This window comes from Homo sapiens, chromosome 6 (assembly GCF_000001405.40).
Source record: "Homo sapiens chromosome 6, GRCh38.p14 Primary Assembly".
Taxonomy (NCBI): Eukaryota; Metazoa; Chordata; class Mammalia; order Primates; family Hominidae; genus Homo; species Homo sapiens.
This window is the reverse complement of record NC_000006.12, coordinates 477,207-495,065: the sequence shown is the minus strand read 5'-3', so window position 1 is coordinate 495,065 and position 17,859 is coordinate 477,207. Positions and strand designations below refer to the sequence as shown.

The window sequence follows — 17,859 nt, the reverse complement described above, 5'->3', positions numbered from 1 at the left end:
AAAAAAAAAAATTGTTTTAATTATCCAAGTGTGGTGCTGTGTGCCTGTGGTCCCAGCTGTTTGGGAGGCTAAGGTGGGAGGCTTGCTTGAGCCCAGGAAGTCAAGGCTGCAGTGAACTGTGATCGTGCTACTGCATCCAGACTGGGCGACAGAGTGACACCCTTTCTCAAAAAAATAAGAATGTTCGTAGTCAATTTTATTCATAATCAAAAACTGAAAACCCAGGTGTCCATCAATACAGTAAATAAACTAATATATTCATACAGTCAAATACTATTCCACATTAAAGAGAATAAATTACTGATACAGCACAGTGAATCCCAGGAGCATTATGCGAAATGAAGGAATCCTTACACAGACATATACGTATACTGTATAGTTTTCATTTACATGAAGTTCTAGAACAAATAAAACTAACTGTGATGAGAAACTCAGAACAGTGGCTTCCTGTGGGTGGTGGGGGTTCCTAGGGTGGGGCCTTAGGGATCGTCACAGGGTGCTGGTTCTGTATTGTGATCTGGGTTTCCATCACAGGTGTATACATCAGTCAAAACTCATCAAATGCCACACTTCGAGATTTGTCTGTTGTGTAGTATGTACATTCTAACTATAAAAAAAAAAAAACGGGTGCAAATAGTCCACTGTAGTTAATGATATGCACACTGAAGTGGATCAGAACTACAGGACTGAGTGACGGATGGAAGCCATGTGGTCATGTGAGGCTGTGTTACTGGGAGAGCCTGTGAGTAAACAGGCATTCACTGTAAAGTTCTTTCAGAGCCTCCATACATTTGAAATTTTTTCAAAATACATATTTGGGAAAGAAAAAGAGCAGAGAGCACTTGTTAATTTGGTTAGGGGAGAATCTGTTGCAAAAGCTTCTGCTGTGTTTCCATTTGCCACCAGTTTTCTCTGAAAATTGATGTATCAGATCTTTGATATTATCGTTTAAGTTGAAAGGTCATGGTTATTATAATAGTTCCATCACAGGAGATGAGTAGTATAAACTGTGTAATACTACAGATGAATTAACAGGCAGTCGCAGTCGCTACTGTGGGCCTTAGCAGTCTTAGAATTTTAACAGGCATCCGCCCTCTCTACACATTACCTCCGTAATCCATTTATCTGATGGCTAAACCACTCTCAAAACCAGCAGGGAGAGGTTGGAAAGTGATCTCAGAATTAGCTGGAAAATTTTTTCACGTACACATGTCCAGAAACTACTGGCCATCAAACTGTTCCAGCCTCCAGTTTTTGAGACCTCCTCGGGCCTGGACAGACATGTGTATTTTGAAAAAGGTCGTGAGTCTAAACTCCCGCTTCACTCTCCCACTGAGAATGACTTTGAGAGCTTCCTTCCTTGAGGCCATAGCTCTAAGAGGGATAGCAGGTTAACCTTTGATAGGCAATTAGGTGCCAAACTCCAGAACTGTCCTGAGAGCTTGGTGAAAAGGGGAGTGACAGTTTGGTGATTTTGGCAGATCTTTTAGCATGATGTTTTCTGGATTACAGTTTTGTAGGTATTATATAGCTAACCACAGTTTTTATAATTGGCATAACTTACAGGTTAATTAAAACACTCTATCACCTTGATTGAATAAAATTTCTACCAGAAGATTGGTTTTGTAGTAATTTAATCTTTCTCCTAAAATGGTCAGCTGAAAGTTCTACCTTTTTTCCTGGTAGGTCTGTTTTTACCTATACTAGAATATAAACAAAATAGAGACAGAAATTGTCATACTTTCTAGCATTTGTAACTTTCTAGTTATATACTGTTTTTCAGGCTTCTAAGGGACTGAAAAAATGAAACCAAACAATTGCCTTCCAAACAGAAAAAGGTCACTGAATATCCTGTGTCATATATATCTGCTTTGATCTAGATGGCTTACAGAATTTCTAATAAACTGTGAAGAGCTGGCTGTGTCTTTTGTCATTGTTTTATGTTTTGTCCACTCCTTGAGAATAAGGGATATTTCTTTTAAATGTTCTCCTGTGTGTCCCACTCACTGTGGGCACCTACTTCAGAACATCAAGTTATCATTGTCAGTGGGTCTGCTGGAGCTCCCAGGAAACTGACTTGTATGTCAGATCACACTTATTCATGCTTGCGTAGAAGTGAAAGCTTAACTTTTTTCTTAAAACTTTTATGAAATATTTCACATAGCATACGATCTGTCTACAATAGAAAAAGAATATGCAATTCAATGATTTTTGGTATATTCAAAGAGCTGTCCAGTCATCACCATCATCAATTTTAGAACATTTCATCCCAAAAGAAACCCCTGACCCATTAAGTCTAATCATTTGCCTCCCAAACCACCCTTTCCCCCTACAGACAACTACCAATTGGCTTTCTATCTCTATGATTTGTCTACTCTGAAAATTTCGTATAAATGGAAACATGAAAATATGACCCTTTGTGACTGGCTTCTTTCATGTAGCGTAATGTTTCAGGGTTCATCCATGTTGTGACATATGCCAGTGCCTCGCTTCTTTTTACATATAATATTCCACTTTAAATATGCCACATTTTATTTATCCATTCATCAGCTGATGGGCATTTGTGGTTTTCCCACCTTTGATTAATATGCAGAATGCTTCTGTGAACACTCCTATACAAGTTCTTGTGTGGACATGTGTTTTCATGTCTCGTGCGTGCATACCAAGGAGCGGAATTGCTAGGTCATGTGGTTACTCTATACTTAATCTTCTGAGGAACTGCCAGACGGTTCTCCAAAGTGGCAGACATTCCTACCAGCAATTTTTGAGGGTTCCAATGTCTCTACATCCTCACCATTATTTGTTATTGTCTCTTATTGATTATAGCCATCCTAGTGGGTGTGAAGTGATACCTCATTCTGTGGGTCGTCCTTTCACATTCTGGATGGTGTCTTTGTAGCACTGGATTTTTAATTTTGGTGAAGTCCACTTTATCTGTTTTGTTGTTTATACTTTCGGCATGATTTCTAAGAAGGGTTTCCTAGCCTAAGGTCACAAAGATTTACACTGGGTTTCTTCTGATAGTTTCATAAGTTTCTTACATTTAGATCTGTGATCCGTGTTAATTTTTGTGTTAAGGAAAGGATTCAACTTCATTCTTCTGCATGTGGATATCCAGTTGCCCTAGCACCATTTGTTGAACAGACTGTTCTTCCCCCACTGAGTGGTCTTGGCACCCTTGTTGAATAGCAGTTGATCATAAATATGAGGGTATACAATATTTAAATATATTTTAGCTTTGGAGTATGGCTGAAGTCAGAAAGTCTGAGGCCTCTAAATGTGTTACTCTAAGATTGTTTTGGCTGTTCTGAGTGCCTTGCATTTCCTTATGAATTTTACAATCAGCTTGCCAGTTTCCATTAAGGAAAAAAAAAGCAGCTGTGATTTTAATAGAGATTGCATTGAATCCATAGAGCAGAGTTTAGGTTTTGAGATTAAGGCAGTGTGCCTGCAAGGGCATAGGTGTCAGGAAGCATGCCAAGCCACATCCTTACCTCTGTGGGACACGGGCCCTTTCAGGGCAGTGTTTCAAAGTGTCTTTCCTCTTGCAAGACTAAAAGAAAAATTAGTGGTTAGAGAGTAAATACAGATGGCTGGAAAATCATGACACAGTTTGTACTTTTCATAGTGAGATATCTAGTTCCCTGCCCTCACACAGTCATCCTTGACTACAAGTTAATTTTCAGTCAACGAACATTTTGTGGTAGCAAATTTCTTCGGACTGTTTTAGAAACTCTACTCATGACTGGCGGTCACCATGGTGGTATTACGCCAACCCCATCCTACGATGAGCAGGCTGGAGACCCTTAACCTTAGTACTTGTTTATATTTGATAATATAAATTTTCCTGTTGTCACTTTGTCTTTTTCTCATTTTCAGGCGAGACTTGAAATCTGTGCTTTGAGGGACACTGTGGCTGTTTACCTGACACCCGAAAGCAAGTAAGTGGCAGTGTTCTTTAGTTGAGTGCTCTATTAAAAATAAAGGTTGTCTTACTAGTCAATTCTGTCCTCTGTAAAGATGACTGATCAGAGCACATGCTCATGAATTTGTGATGTGATAAAGTTTATGTCAAGGCCACTTTGTAACACAATGTAAATGAAAGGGGTTTAATATAATTTTTTCATTTACTACTGACAAATCTTAGTCTTATAATACAGCAGAGTATGACATACTTCTTAAAGCAAAAGAGGATAAGAACTGAGTCTTAGTCTGTTCATAGCAGACTCTGAAGGACAGCTCAAGTGCTGTAAATATCAGTATAAGAGGAAGCCTTGTGGTTTCTCTGCAAAATTTTGTAGTGGAAATTTGATAATTTTTAGCTGTTTTGAATGAAAGTCAGGATTTCCTACCATTGAAATATCAGTAGGTGAAGTGAAGCAGAACTACTGTTTGTCTGTGCAAAATTGTTTACTACGTGGGCAACATTACCTAGGAAATACTGGGTTATAGTGTTGATGTGCCTGAGAAGCCAAGTCGTATGCAAATGAAATGTTTGAGGACACTGTAATATGCTTACTCACTCATTTCCAGCATCTGATAACATGGCTTGCTGTCATTCTGTCAGCTTTGCAACTGAAAATACGTTTTCCATTTTTTCCTAACCAATGAAGTTAGCCTTTCATTCCCGTCGGTCACAGCTCACCAGCAGCCATTTTTAGTGGGCCATGTTCACTGTTGAGCCACACCTTTTCCCAGCCATCGTTTGTCTGTACAACATACTAACAGGATGGAAAGCACCCAGCCCATGTTGGATGTGTGCACACTTCATGCAAATGCCTACCCTCTTCCTGCTGACTTAGTTTTAGAGTATAAGGTACTCATCTATAGAGGAAGTTTAAAATATTCTAGGCAAGCTTTTGAGGGTGTTAAATGAGAAAATGTGCCAAATCACTTTTTAATTTTCAGTACCCTGCCAATAATATGTAGTATGTTTATCATTATTGTCATACTGTCAAAACAATTACATCACATTTCTTTCAATTAATCAAAAAGAGGTTCATAAGAAACAAGCTGATGGTGGAGGTAGCGGCAGTGGCTTCCACACCAGGAAAGAGGCCGCTGAATGTGGGAAGGGACCCGAGTGCGCCAAGCCACCCGTCCCACACCCCACCGCGCCCTCCCGGGAGCAGCTGGAGATGCCCAGCACCGGGTTTTATGACTCTGTTGGAACTTTTCAGTCTTTCTCTCTGTTGCTGTGACACTTGCCCCTGATTTGAGGAATATTGCTCAAAAACGTATTTCCTGGTAGATTGAGGATGTTTTTACAATATAAAAGCAACGACCCCCTAAAGTCAAGAATTGCAGTATTTCTTCACCTTAACCAATCATAAGAGAGATAAAAGAACTGTTCCTTTGTGAATGGTACAAGTTAATTACCACAGTCTCCCCTATGATGCTTTTCATTTGGTTTGGTAATTTTTCTAATACTTTCTCCTTGTAAAAGCTAAACATCCCACAGTTTTCTTTTTAAAATTCTTTCCTTTTACCTTCATGTAAAGAACTTACATTGAATTTTTAAAGCATCTATATAGCTCTCCATTTTTCTACAAGTTTTAAGTAGACTGTAATTATTACAAGACATTGGCTGTAGATCAGGCCCTGTGCAGGCCAAATACTGTAAACACCCCACTGTGTCATCTTTCAGAAGGTCATCCCCATTTCTTAGAGTAACTGGATTATCCCCAGCTGCTTGTTTTGAAAAGACTCCTTTTAAATTAAACATGTTCACATTAAGCTCTCCTCTATCACTAGCATCCTTTCGAAGATGTTTTTCCTTTAGCTTTTCAAGTAGCGTTTCATTTCCTATTTGAGTTTTTCTGACCCCGTTGCTACAAAGCCTCCACCTGGTAGCTACACCTTCGCTTTTACTTTTACTTTTTCTATTGTTTTTCACTTTTACTTTTTCTCATATTTCCTTGCTTCACTGGCTTTTATTGGCTTCTCAATAATTAAGGGATGCTTAAGAATTTGTCAGCAGTTCTCCTGTGCAAGGCTTCAACTTCAGTGTGGCTGTTTGTGTTTCAGGTCAAGTTTTAAGCAGGCTTTGGAAGCCCTGCCCCAGCTTTCCAGTGGAGCAGATAAAAAGTAAGTCCTGTGTGCTGTTCTTAGGAGCCAGTTGAATGTGCTCAACAAGGTTTTGTTTCCTAAAATACCTTTTAAAAATAATGATTTGGATTCTAGGAAGAGCAGAATCCAAATAAGAATCAGAATAAGCAGATATACCTACTTAATAGCGTTAGTAGGTACATCTCGTCACCTGTAACTTGCATGTCTTCTGAGTGACAGAATAAGGTAAGACCTTTCTTCTGGGTTTAGGAGAATTTAGAAGTTGGCTCTCGTTTCAAGTGACTGGTATAGAAAAGGTCTTAAGAAAGCTATCTATGACTTATTCAGTAAACTGTATTAGTAGCATACATAAGAAGTAATGGAAAAAAGAAGACAGCATAGTAAAATGCAGGAGTCGGTGATTTTTTTTTTAATTTTTGAGTAATTCAGTAGTATTTATTTTGTGTTCTATAAAATACAAAATGTTATGAAAGTAGATGTGCACATATGGCATAATAAAGTTTTATATATACATATATATTTCATTAGACCACACTGATGATCTCAACCTGAATTTAAACTTTACTACTCATAGAACAGGAAACGGACCTAAGAGAAAATCTAGGCCAGGTAAATTTCATAAATGCCCAGGCTCCCCCGAGCTGAGGCAGTCTTCATTCCTTCACCACCCGCCCTGCACGTGGCTGCCGGGCCCATAGACAGGCACATGTGGTGCACTGACTGAAATGCTGGCACCGTGAATGCAGTGCAGACTCAGTGCAGGGCAGAGAGATCACATAGGCTGGGCCATGGGGGGGAGCTGTCACATGGCATCGACGCACAGAGCAGGCAGCAGACCAGCCCTTCCACCATCAGTCCCCGGGGGCATCGCCGCCCCGCCCCGCACGCATCCCACGTGGGCACATGGCAGCTGTGCAGACAGTGCCTGCACAATCAGCCCTTTCTTCCTTTTTCTTGCTGCTTCTCTAACTTCCATCCTCTATTTGAATTGGTTCCAAACCCTGTTCATTTCTTTAAAATAAATATGATAAAAGATTGAAACAGTCACTGCTACGTTTCATATGTGGAACAGGGCTCAAAAGGTAGTGTGTCACGAACAATACACACCCTGAAATGGCCCCAGGTCAGGACTATATTTTAGATTTGCTGTGGGGATAGCATTCTAATATTGAACATTGTTAAACCGTGAAATAATCTCTTGACCTCAGTACTGTTAAACCCAGTTCTTGGTTGCTGCATCCAAACCAGGAAAACTCTAAGATCCTTCCTAGCTTTAAAAATTAGATGACTTGGGCCGGGCGCAGTGGCTCATGCCTGTAATCCCAGCACTTTGGGAGGCTGAGGTGGGCGGATCACGACTTCAGGAAATCAAGACCATCCTGGCCAACATGGTAAAACCCCGTCTCTACTAAAAATACAAAAATTAGCCGGGTGTGGTGGCGGGCACCTGTAGTTTCAGCTACTCAGGAGGCTGAGGCAGGAGAATTGCTTGAATCCGGGAGGTGGAGGTTGCAGTGAGCCGAAATCGCGCCACTGCACTCCAGCCTGGGCGACAGAGCAAAACTCCATCTGAAAAAAAGAAAAAAAATTAGATGACTGTATCACATCAGTTGGGGAAACAGATTGCGATATCAGGCAGCAAAGCGATTTGCCTAGTGGAATTAGCCCCTAACCCTGCTTGCCCTGGTGGTTAACTCACTGCTTTCGCTCCCCACTCTCTAATACCTGTTAATACAAAATGAGAGGAAGGGAAAGTCAGCAGTGGCTGCTGGGAGATGGGGTTAGGGAAGAGGCTGACTAGAGGGGCAGCAGGGGAAAGGGTGCAGCCATGCCACGTGCTGTAGCCTGTTACACTCCGGTATGGCTTTGCCAGCGTTCATAGAACCATCTAACAAAAAGTGAATTTGAAGGTGTGTAAATTATTTTAGAGTTGAATTTCTAAAAAAGAATAGGCCCAAACATCAGTCTGTATTAGGGAGGAATCTAATCTTGGGAGGGGATAGGAAGGAGATGTTTCTGTACAAACATAAATACGTTATCAGTATATCCTATTTGATCAACTTCTTTGATGTGTTTCTTTTGCTGAGTTAAGGATCCATAGGTAGAACTTTTCAGCTGCCTTCTCCACACAGCAAGCCCAGGCAGAGCCGGGCACTGGCTCCCCTGGTGTTTTCTTGCGTTGCTAGGCCGCCCCATCTGTCGGGCTGTAAAACAAGTGTCTCCGTCCTGCAGGTTACTGGAAGAGCTCCTGAACAAGTTCAAGAGTAGCATGCACTTGCAGCTCACCTGTTTCCAAGCAGCTTCTTCAACCATGATGAAAACATAAATATCTGCCACATAAAAGAAGTCCAGGAAAATAACACGTAATAAGACTGTTCACTCTCTAAGTACCCTAAAGGTATTTGGTGTATTAAACATTGGGTTTGCCATTTTTCTCTTTTTTCTTCCTCTGACTTCGAAAATTGTTGGTATACATTTCAACCAAAATGACCTCATTTGAAATGCCCAGGAAGTATTTGTTTTGCCATTCTTACTAGATCAGATCCTGTATGACTTTAAAATACATTTTAAAATATATTTTGCATCTCAGCAGAAGGTTGAGTGCTGCAGGAAGAGCTGCTTCTGCAGGGAGTTTTCTGGAATGGCGTGGCACATATTGAAGCATTTCTCAGTGTCCCGTTCACGGAAGCGCAGGCAGCTCCCACGACACACGGAGAGACTGACTGATACGAGATTTGGAAAGCTATGTAGACATCTTTGGAGCTCTTACTGTCCTAAACTGTACAGCTGTGCTTAAAACCCTCATTTCATATAAATGGCCTTAAGTTTTCTAATTCAAGCGGGTTTTTGGAAAAATTTATGGTCTCCATTAAAATACATATTACAACTGGGGTAGATTATTTGTGGTCCAGGTGTCTGTGATTTAACTTTGCGTTTTGCTATCTGATTTTTATTTTTCACAGGGCTAAGCATGAGCTTTCATTCTCACTCACTCTTAATTTGTCGTGCGTCACTACACATGCACGTGTTGCAGTCCCTGAGGCCCTGTGTGTTATCTGTGATGGAGTGTGAATGTGTAACGGGCACTGTGTTACACTCTGAGGTGTTGGCGGGGCGGTCGCAGACTTCAGGGTCCCCTAACGGAAAGGCCAGGCTCCGCGTGGACGGCCAACTCCCTGCCCGCTCCTTCAGCAGGTGACTGTCTCTGCCACTTCTTACCTGCTGAAGGATCTTGCTCAGTAGCTGGAACAATGCTGCTGTCACACAGTCTCTTCTCTGAAACTTCAGGATGCTCCTTGGTCACCAGGCAATGGGAGCTGTAGACCAGCCGCATGCACTTGCCCCACATTCACTGCTGACTGGCTTCACTGGAATAGGTTCAGGTCACCGGGACTTCTCTCAGAGTCAGCGGCCCACCCAACTCCCTCATACCGTCGCATCTGAAAATTTTCAGAGAGGAATTCTCTTTGTAGTCGGCTTGTCAGGGTTTTCAAGTTTTTCTATGGTTATTTTTAAATCTCTTTTTTTAAATGCTAAAATTAATGTCCTCATTAATGCAAGTAATTTTAGAGCACAGTGTAGCCATGTACAGTTTCCATTATTTAAAATAAATAAATGTGTTGGTTCATTTGGTGTATGGGGGGACATCATGGTAACTGGAAATGAAAGTTTAATCTTTCACAAATGTGCTTGATAAAGCTGTTAAGAATTGTCTTTCCTAAGTATGTTAACTGTTGTATCTAACTCAACTGTGAGCTAAGTTTAAAAACTGCAATCATGAATGTTTGTGATATTTTAAATATCTACTACAGCACATTCAGCCAATAAAGAATCTGCCTTTAATGTAAGTTGTAATTTACTTGACATTTTTCCCTAAGTGTCTTTATTTCAACATTTTCATATTTCTACTGTTAACACCCAAAATACTTACATTCTGGTTAACCCTGTATTGGTAAACACATTGTCAGAAACCATCTGTCAGGTCCTGCTAATTCTGTTTGCTGGGGACTTACCATGTGCGAGGCACACCATGAAGTGCCTCGTTGAATCCTCACAACAGCCTTATGATACATGTGGGCTAGCTTACCGCCACGTCCATTTAGCAGAGGAAGGAATCAGGGCTTAGAGAGAGGTTGGTGACTTCCGTAAGACTGCAAGGCAGTAAGTAGCAGGACTCATGTTCACACTCTGGCTCTGTATGTCCTTGACTTCACTACTGCTCAGCTCTTCCTTCCAGCGGAATATGCTTTCTGACATCCATCCACCTGGGTCACAGCTCAGAGAAAGTTCATCAATTCCAGAGGCTAATAAACAGTAGCAACACGGAAACCGGTAGTGCTTTTATGGCTCAGAGTGGAAGGTAAAGGCCTAAAAACCCCATACCCAAGTGAGGGAGTTCAAGGACTACTATTCCAACAAGTCAGGGGGGACTTCTTGGAAGAAAGGGGGATTTCAAGAGCTACTTGAGTTACAGAACCCTGGTTTAGTGGGTAAGAGGAGATGAATATGAAATAAGTTAGATGAAAGCCGAGAGAGAAACCAGGACCTGGAGCAAGTTAACGAGGCAGCTGAGAAAACAAATTAGGGAGGTTCAAGGTACTTCAGTGCTCCAGTGGCATTTCATTTCCAGCACACCCATGTTCTTTGTGGGTCACAGCATGGCTTCATGTGAGTTAGCTGAGCTGGCCTCACTTGAATGGGAAAGAGCTATTAGAAATCACTTGGTTTTTTACTAAGACTTTCTTTATCAGTGTACCATGAAAGAGCATATTCTAGAAATGATTTGGGCATTGCAAAACAAGCATCATTGCCTTAGGCTGAGCACACTGACTCATTCTCCTGTCTCTTGTCATCTTTGCATGTAGATTTTTTTAAAGGGAAGAAATAGAAGAGATTATATTTTTATTCTGGATTTGGTACAAGGTGGTGGTGTGTATTTCTGTTTTGATCACGTGCTATGGGATATTCTGTTAGTTTCATAAGCGTGTTGTGTAATGTTTTCAGAAAAGTTACAAATTTTAACTAGTTTTTAAATCAAGATTAGGTTTCTAAAAGTCAAATATATTTTATGTAATATTCATAAAATAATTATGCATAGACTAAACTTGCATACATTTTTGTCACTGAACATTTATCTGTTGGTTCTGTTGCAAAGATTTTCATATAGATCTGTGAACTGCTCTGAAAGATATATTTAATATATCACTCCTCAATTAGAGCAGCAGCCATAATTATTTTAGCTTTGCTTTAAACACAGTTGCATATTACTCTATACTAGGGCCATTATGCTTTTTGTGTGCTGATCTCATCTCATTTCTGCTCCCCCAGAGGAGGATTTATTACATTGAGGTTTATTACGTGTATTACTGGAAAGCCTTTCTGTACCTGGCCAGGTTAGAAATATATAGCAATAAACATCTTACGGACAAGACCTGGGTCTTTGGGTAACTTGTTTGCAGTTTGGCTAATGAAAGGCAGTAGGATATCAGAGTGTCTTTCTCCTGTCTAGGCACAGAAAATCCTAGACAAAGTGGGCAGTGAAGCTTGTCTTGTGCCTTCAACAGTGTTTTACCATGACTGGAAGCCGTTGGTTTTCTTCTTGTGGTCACTGTTGATATTTTCATGGTTGTTATCATTATCATCTCGTCACATGTTAAAAAAAGATTCTCGTACCACCTTCCTACAACCCCTCTAGCCAGACACAAATCCCTGAGAACCAAGACCACTTTATCCACAATGAAGTAAAATAAAATACGTTAGCAACAATTTAATAGGAGATATCAGCAGACATAGAAACAATTTTTAAAATGAAAAATTTAGAACCAAAAAATATAATTTCTGAAATAAAGCAAAAATACTGACTGGGCTTAAATAGCAGTGAGGATAACTGAGGAAAGAGTAAAGGAACTTGAAAATAGACAGATCAACGAGACAAAGTTAACAAGGATACCCAGGAATTGAACTCAGCTCTGCACCAAGTGGACCTAATAGACATCTACAGAACTCTCCACCCCAAATCAACAGAATATACATTCTTTTCAGCACCACACCACACCTATTCCAAAACTGACCACATACTTGGAAGTAAAGCTCTCCTCAGCAAATGTAAAAGAACAGAAATTATAACAAACTATCTCTCAGACCACAGTGCAATCAAACTACAACTCAGGATTAAGAATCTCACTCAAAACCGCTCAACTACATGGAAACTGAACAACCTGCTCCTGAATGACTACTGGGTACATAACGAAATGAAGGCAGAAATAAAGATGTTCTTTCAAACCAACAAGAACAAAGACACAACATACCAGAATCTCTGGGACACATTCAAAGCAGTGTGTAGAGGGAAATTTATAGCACTAAATGCCCACAAGAGAAAGCAGGAAAGATCCAAAATTGGCACCCTAACGTCACAATTAAAAGAACCTGAGAAGCAAGAGCAAACACATTCAAAAGCTAGCAGAAGGCAAGAAATAACTAAAATCAAGAGCAGAACTGAAGGAAATAGACACAAAAAACCCTTCAAAAAAATCAATGAATCCAGGAGCTGGTTTTTTGAAAAGATCAACAAAATCGATAGACCGCTAGCAAGACTAGTAAGACAGAAGAATCAAATAGACGCAATAAAAAATGATAAAGCGGATATCACCACCTATCCCACAGAAATACAAACTACCATCAGAGAACACTACAAACACCTCTACGCAAATAAACTAGAAAATCTAGAAGAAATGGATAAATTCCTCGACACATACACCCTCCCAAGACTAAACCAGGAAGAAGTTGACTCTCTGAATAGACCAATAACAGGCTCTGAAATTGAGGCAATAATTAATAGCTTACCAACCAAAAAAAGTCCAGGACCAGATGGATTCACAGCCGAATTCTACCAGAGGTACAAGGAGGAGCTGGTACCATTTCTTCTGAAATTATTCCAATCAATAGAAAAAGAGGGAATCCTCCCTAACTCATTTTATGAGGCCAGCATCATCCTGATACCAAAGCCTGGCAGAGACAACCAAAAAAGAGAATTTTAGACCAATATCCTTGATGAACATTGATGCAAAAATCCTCAATAAAATACTGGCAAACTGAATCCAGCAGCACATCAAAAAGCTTATCCACCATGATCAAGTGGGCTTCATCCCTGGGATGCAAAGCTGGTTCAATATACACAAATCAATAAATGTAATACAGCATATAAATAGAACCAAAGACAAAAACCACATGATTATCTCAATAGATGCAGAAAAGGCCTTTGACAAAAATTCAACAGCCCTTCATGCTAAAAACTCTCAATAAATTAGGTATTGATGGGACGTATCTCAAAATAATAAGAGCTATCTATCACAAACCCACAGCCAATATCATACTGAATGGGCAAAAACTGGAAGCATTCCCTTTGAAAACTGGCACAAGACAGGGATGGCCTCTCTCACCACTCCTATTCAACATAGTGTTGGAAGTTCTGGCCAGGGCAATTAGGCAGCAGACAAAGGTTTTAATGCACTTTATCCGCAATGAAGTAAAATAAAATATGTTAGCAACAATTTAATAGGAGATATCAGCAGAGACATAGAAACAATTTTTAAAATGAAAAATTTAGAACCGAAAAATACAGTTTCTGAAATAAAGCAAAAATACTGACTGGACTTAAATAGCACAGTGATGATAACTGAGGAAAGAATAAAGGAACTTGAAGATAGATCAGTGGATATTATCCAATATGAAGAATAGAGAGGGAAATGTTTGGGCAAGTTTTCTAGAGACCTGTTCAATATAATCAAATGGTCTTAACACATGGATAATTGTGGTCCTAGAAGGCAAGCAAAGAGAGAATCAGGCAGGAAAAAATATTTGAAGAAATAATGGCTGGCAATTTCCCAAATTTATGGCAGATACAAATTTACAGATTCATAATGCTCAACAAACAGCAAAAAAGATAAAGACAAAAAATGCCACACTGCCATAAACTGTTAAAGCCAAAGCTAAAAAACAGATCTAGTCAGCAGCAGTTGAACAACTACCTGCTACATACAGGAGAAGAACATTGGACTCAACTTCTGGCTTAACATCAGAAATTATGGAGGCCAGAGAGAGTGAAATAGGCATCTTTAAAGTGATAGAAGAAAAAAGCTGTCAATCCAGAGTTCTTCACTTCTAAGTGAAGATACTCTTTCACAGCTAAAGACATTTCTAGATAAAAGAAAACTAAGACAATTTGTTGTCAGCAGACGTGCACTATAAGAAATGTTAAACGAAGTTCTTCAAACGGAAAGGAAATGGTATCTGATGGAAGTGCATATCCTCACAAAGCAATGAAGAGCATTAGAGATGGTAAACAGCTCGGTAAATACAGAATTCTTTCTTTTTGCTTTTTCTTCTTAAAGGTTTTATAATATATGACTGCGAGCTCCAGCGGCACAATCAGTTAGCGTGAGGTACTTATATATGACTGTTTATAAAGTAGTATAGCATTGTCCTGTGGGTTTATAGCCTATATAGATGTAAAATAAGGGGGGGGGGAATGGACCTATATTGGTGCAAGATTTCTACATTTCACATGAAGTGGTAATATATTACATGTAAAGGGACTGTGAAAAGTTAAGGATATATGTTGTAGTCCCCAGAACAATCACTGAAACAATAATGTAGAGGCGTATAGCTAAAAAGCCAGTAAGAAAAGTATAATTGCATTTTTAAAATAGTCGTGTAATTTTAAAAAGGCATAAAAGGAAGAACAGAGAACAGATAGAAAATAACACAATGATATGTCCAGACACAACCATAGCAATAATTTCATTAAACATTAATGGATTCAGCATTTCAATTAAAAGGCAGAGGTTGTCAGAAGGAATAAAGAAGCATGGCCCAACTATATGCTGTATATAAGAGATGAAACTTTATATTTTAAAATGGCGCAGATAGGTTGAAAGGAACCGGATGGGAAAAAAATACACTATGCAAATAGTAAGCATAAAGAAGGCTGGAGTTGCCATATCAATATAAGGTAATGGAGATTTTAAGATAAAAACATCATAACAGAAGGACTTTTCATAAGTATAAAATGGTCACTCAAAGATATAACAATCATGTATGTATCTAGTAACAAAGCATGAAGATCATTAAAATACGTAAGACAAAACTGACAGGATTAAAGGAAAAATGGGCAGTATCATTCTCAGATTGGAAGTTTTAAGCTCCTCTTAGCAGCTGATAGAACTAGATGAAGAAAATCATCAAAGACATAGAAGATCTGAATAATGATTGATATGCTGTGTCATGAAACAAATCTCAAAGAAAATTAAAATTTTCAAATTATGCAGTTCTCTGCCCACAGTGGAATTAAACTGAAAATCAATAACAATAAAATATCAAGAAAAGCCCTAAATATTTGGAAGTTAAAAAGTGCACTTCCAAATACCCCAGGAATCAAAGAGGAAAACACCACAGAAATTAGAAAATATTTGAATTGAATGAAAAGTTAAAACATATCAAAATTTGAGGGATACAGCTATAGGGTGCTTACAGGAAAAGATTTGTAAAACTTCATGCTTACGTTAGAAAACAGATCTACATTCAGTGATCTAAGGTTCCATCTTAAGATATTAACAAATAACAAATTCAACCCCAATCCCAAGTTAGTAGAATGACAGAAATCATAAAGGAAAGGGCAGAAGTCAAGGAAATAGAAAAATGCATAAGCAATAGAGAAAATGAGATCAAAAGACAATGGGCTGGTTTCTCCTTTCAGTTGTCATCAGCTCTGCGCAGTGCTGGCAAAGTCACATGGCCTTTGGCTGTATCTGTTTCCTTGCGTGTAATAAGGGTGGCTGGACTTAAATGATACACGAAGTGCTCTAAATTGGTGCTTGTAGAAGCAGAAGAGGAGTAATAGTGGAATTTTCTAAAATAAGCCTGTTCTCGCCATTGCTTAGTAAATATGCTGAGCATGAGTACATGAACCCTTAAAGGCTATGATCACTTCTCCAACTATTTATTTTCACAATCTGTAACATCAATTAATTTTGCATTGTTTTAATACTTGAGGAATAGATACCATGGGCGTAGACACAACTCACAGAAGCAGTGTTGTTCTGCATCAAACAGGAGTTTCAGACTCTGCAAACCACAAGTTAGAGGTCCCAAGCTTGTTATCTGTTTGACTTTCTCCTGAGGTCTTTGGATAATCATTGTCCTTGTTCTGTGGGTCTATTTCCCCATATGAGTTGTCTGCTTTTTTTGCCTTTTTTTTTTTTTAGACAAAGCCTTGCTCTGTCACTCAGGCTGGAGTGCAGTGGCACAACTTTGGCTCACTGCAACCTCTGCTTCCTGAGTTCAAGCGATTCTCCTGCCTCAGCCTCCCAAGTAGCTGGGATTGCAGGCATGTGCTACCATGCCCGGCTAATTTTTCTATTTTTAGTAGAGACGGGGTTTCACCATGTTGTCCAGGCTGGTCTCGAACTCCTGACCTCGTGATCCACCCGCCTCGGCCTCCCAAAGTGCTGGGATTACAGGCGTGAGCCACCACGCCCGGCCATCTGCATTATTTTTAAGACTTAATCAGACACTCAGCAAGCCAAATTGTTTCCTGATGCAAATAAGTTCTGGTAAGACTGCCATGAGGGCCCATCCTTGATTTACCCCTTAGCTGTCTTTAAATCAGGTTTCTTTCTTAAAGTTACTTGGATTCTTAAAGTGACTGTTGAGAATATGCTTTTAAGGTTCAGGAGGAAGCACGACACTAAAACCCTACACTTCAAAGGGTGTAAAGAATCCCCCTGTTCCTTGTAGGTTGTGCTGGACATAATGTTAATTAGATGCTCTCCAGACCAGTTCTGGAGAGTCGGCACACTCTGCTGCACCCAACAGCCGTCATGGGGTCTGCTGTTGGCCCGTGGCCATCACGGTCTAGGACTACCTCTTGAAGCTGTCAGGACTCCTGGATCTAAGTCTCCTCCTGCCCACGAATTAGGAAGTTTGAATAGGAGGACAGGATGTGGTGAGCGTAATATCTGGAGGAAAAAGCAGATTGGAACCGAGACATCTCTGGTTTGCTGATATTTCACTCTTCTAGAACAAGCAGTGTTAACTTACATTTTTGGCAAAAAATACCAGAGAAAGGATGCTCATAACTTGAATTTAATCCCAAAAAACATTAAACACAATTGAGGCACATTCTACAAAATACCCAACCAATACTCTTCAGAATTATCAAGGTCACAGAAGACAGAGACTTGAGGAACTACCCCAGATTGGAGACGTGACAATTAAATGCAATGTGTGGTCCTGGATTGGATCTTGAACCAGAAAAAGGACGTCAGTGAGCCAACCGGTGAAATTTTCGTAAGATCTGTAAATTAGCTCACAATAGTATATCAATGTTAATTTCCTGCTTTTGATCATTGTGTTGTGGCTATTTGAGATATTAATACTTGGAGAAGCTGGGAGAGGACAAGGAATATGGGAATTCTTCATTCTATTTTTAAAACATTTTTATGTCTGAAATTCTTTTAAAATGAAAAATTGTGTTTTAATTTTTAAAAAAGAATAGATGTAGAATAGAAAACTTTCATAGCAGTGTATGTTGGTGAGGAATTAAAAAATCAGTAGGAGTAACTAACATGGAAGGGGATTGGTGAAGCACACAAAAAGGAAAGTGAATAGAAAATCCAAACTAAGGGGTAAAAATATTTTCTAATGGATTAGCACAGTAACATCAATGAACTAATGTTTTCAGATGAAATAGATCCTCAGATTAGATCCCAGCCCCCCCCAAAAAAATTCATC

General features: G+C 39.5%; 1 protein-coding gene across 14 annotated transcripts in view, besides 1 other annotated feature; it reads left to right on the top strand.

Annotated features, from left to right (window-relative positions):
* EXOC2 (exocyst complex component 2) overlaps nucleotides 1-9,912 on the top strand; it is a 207,986-nt gene extending 198,074 nt beyond the window's left edge. For 6 of the 14 annotated variants that reach the window (XM_017011022.2, XM_047419010.1, XM_047419009.1 and 3 more), the window contains 4 exons: nucleotides 3,880-3,941; nucleotides 6,028-6,087; nucleotides 8,302-8,432; nucleotides 8,663-9,912. In XM_017011022.2, the coding sequence (XP_016866511.1) occupies nucleotides 3,880-3,941; nucleotides 6,028-6,087; nucleotides 8,302-8,395 (216 nt within the window). In that variant the 3' untranslated portion in view covers nucleotides 8,396-8,432; nucleotides 8,663-9,912. Of the gene's footprint in view, nucleotides 1-3,879; nucleotides 3,942-6,027; nucleotides 6,088-8,301 lie in introns of all 14 variants that reach the window. The other 8 variants (XM_017011023.2, XM_047419015.1, XM_017011024.2 and 5 more) reach the window with 2 other exon arrangements.
* Nucleotides 16,111-16,311: a silencer, noted in NCBI's record as "peak5618 fragment used in MPRA reporter construct". NCBI's record gives its function as "represses an SCP1 promoter by STARR-seq MPRAs in K562 erythroleukemia cells {active_cell/tissue: K562}" and the evidence as "EXISTENCE:reporter gene assay evidence [ECO:0000049][PMID:32103011]".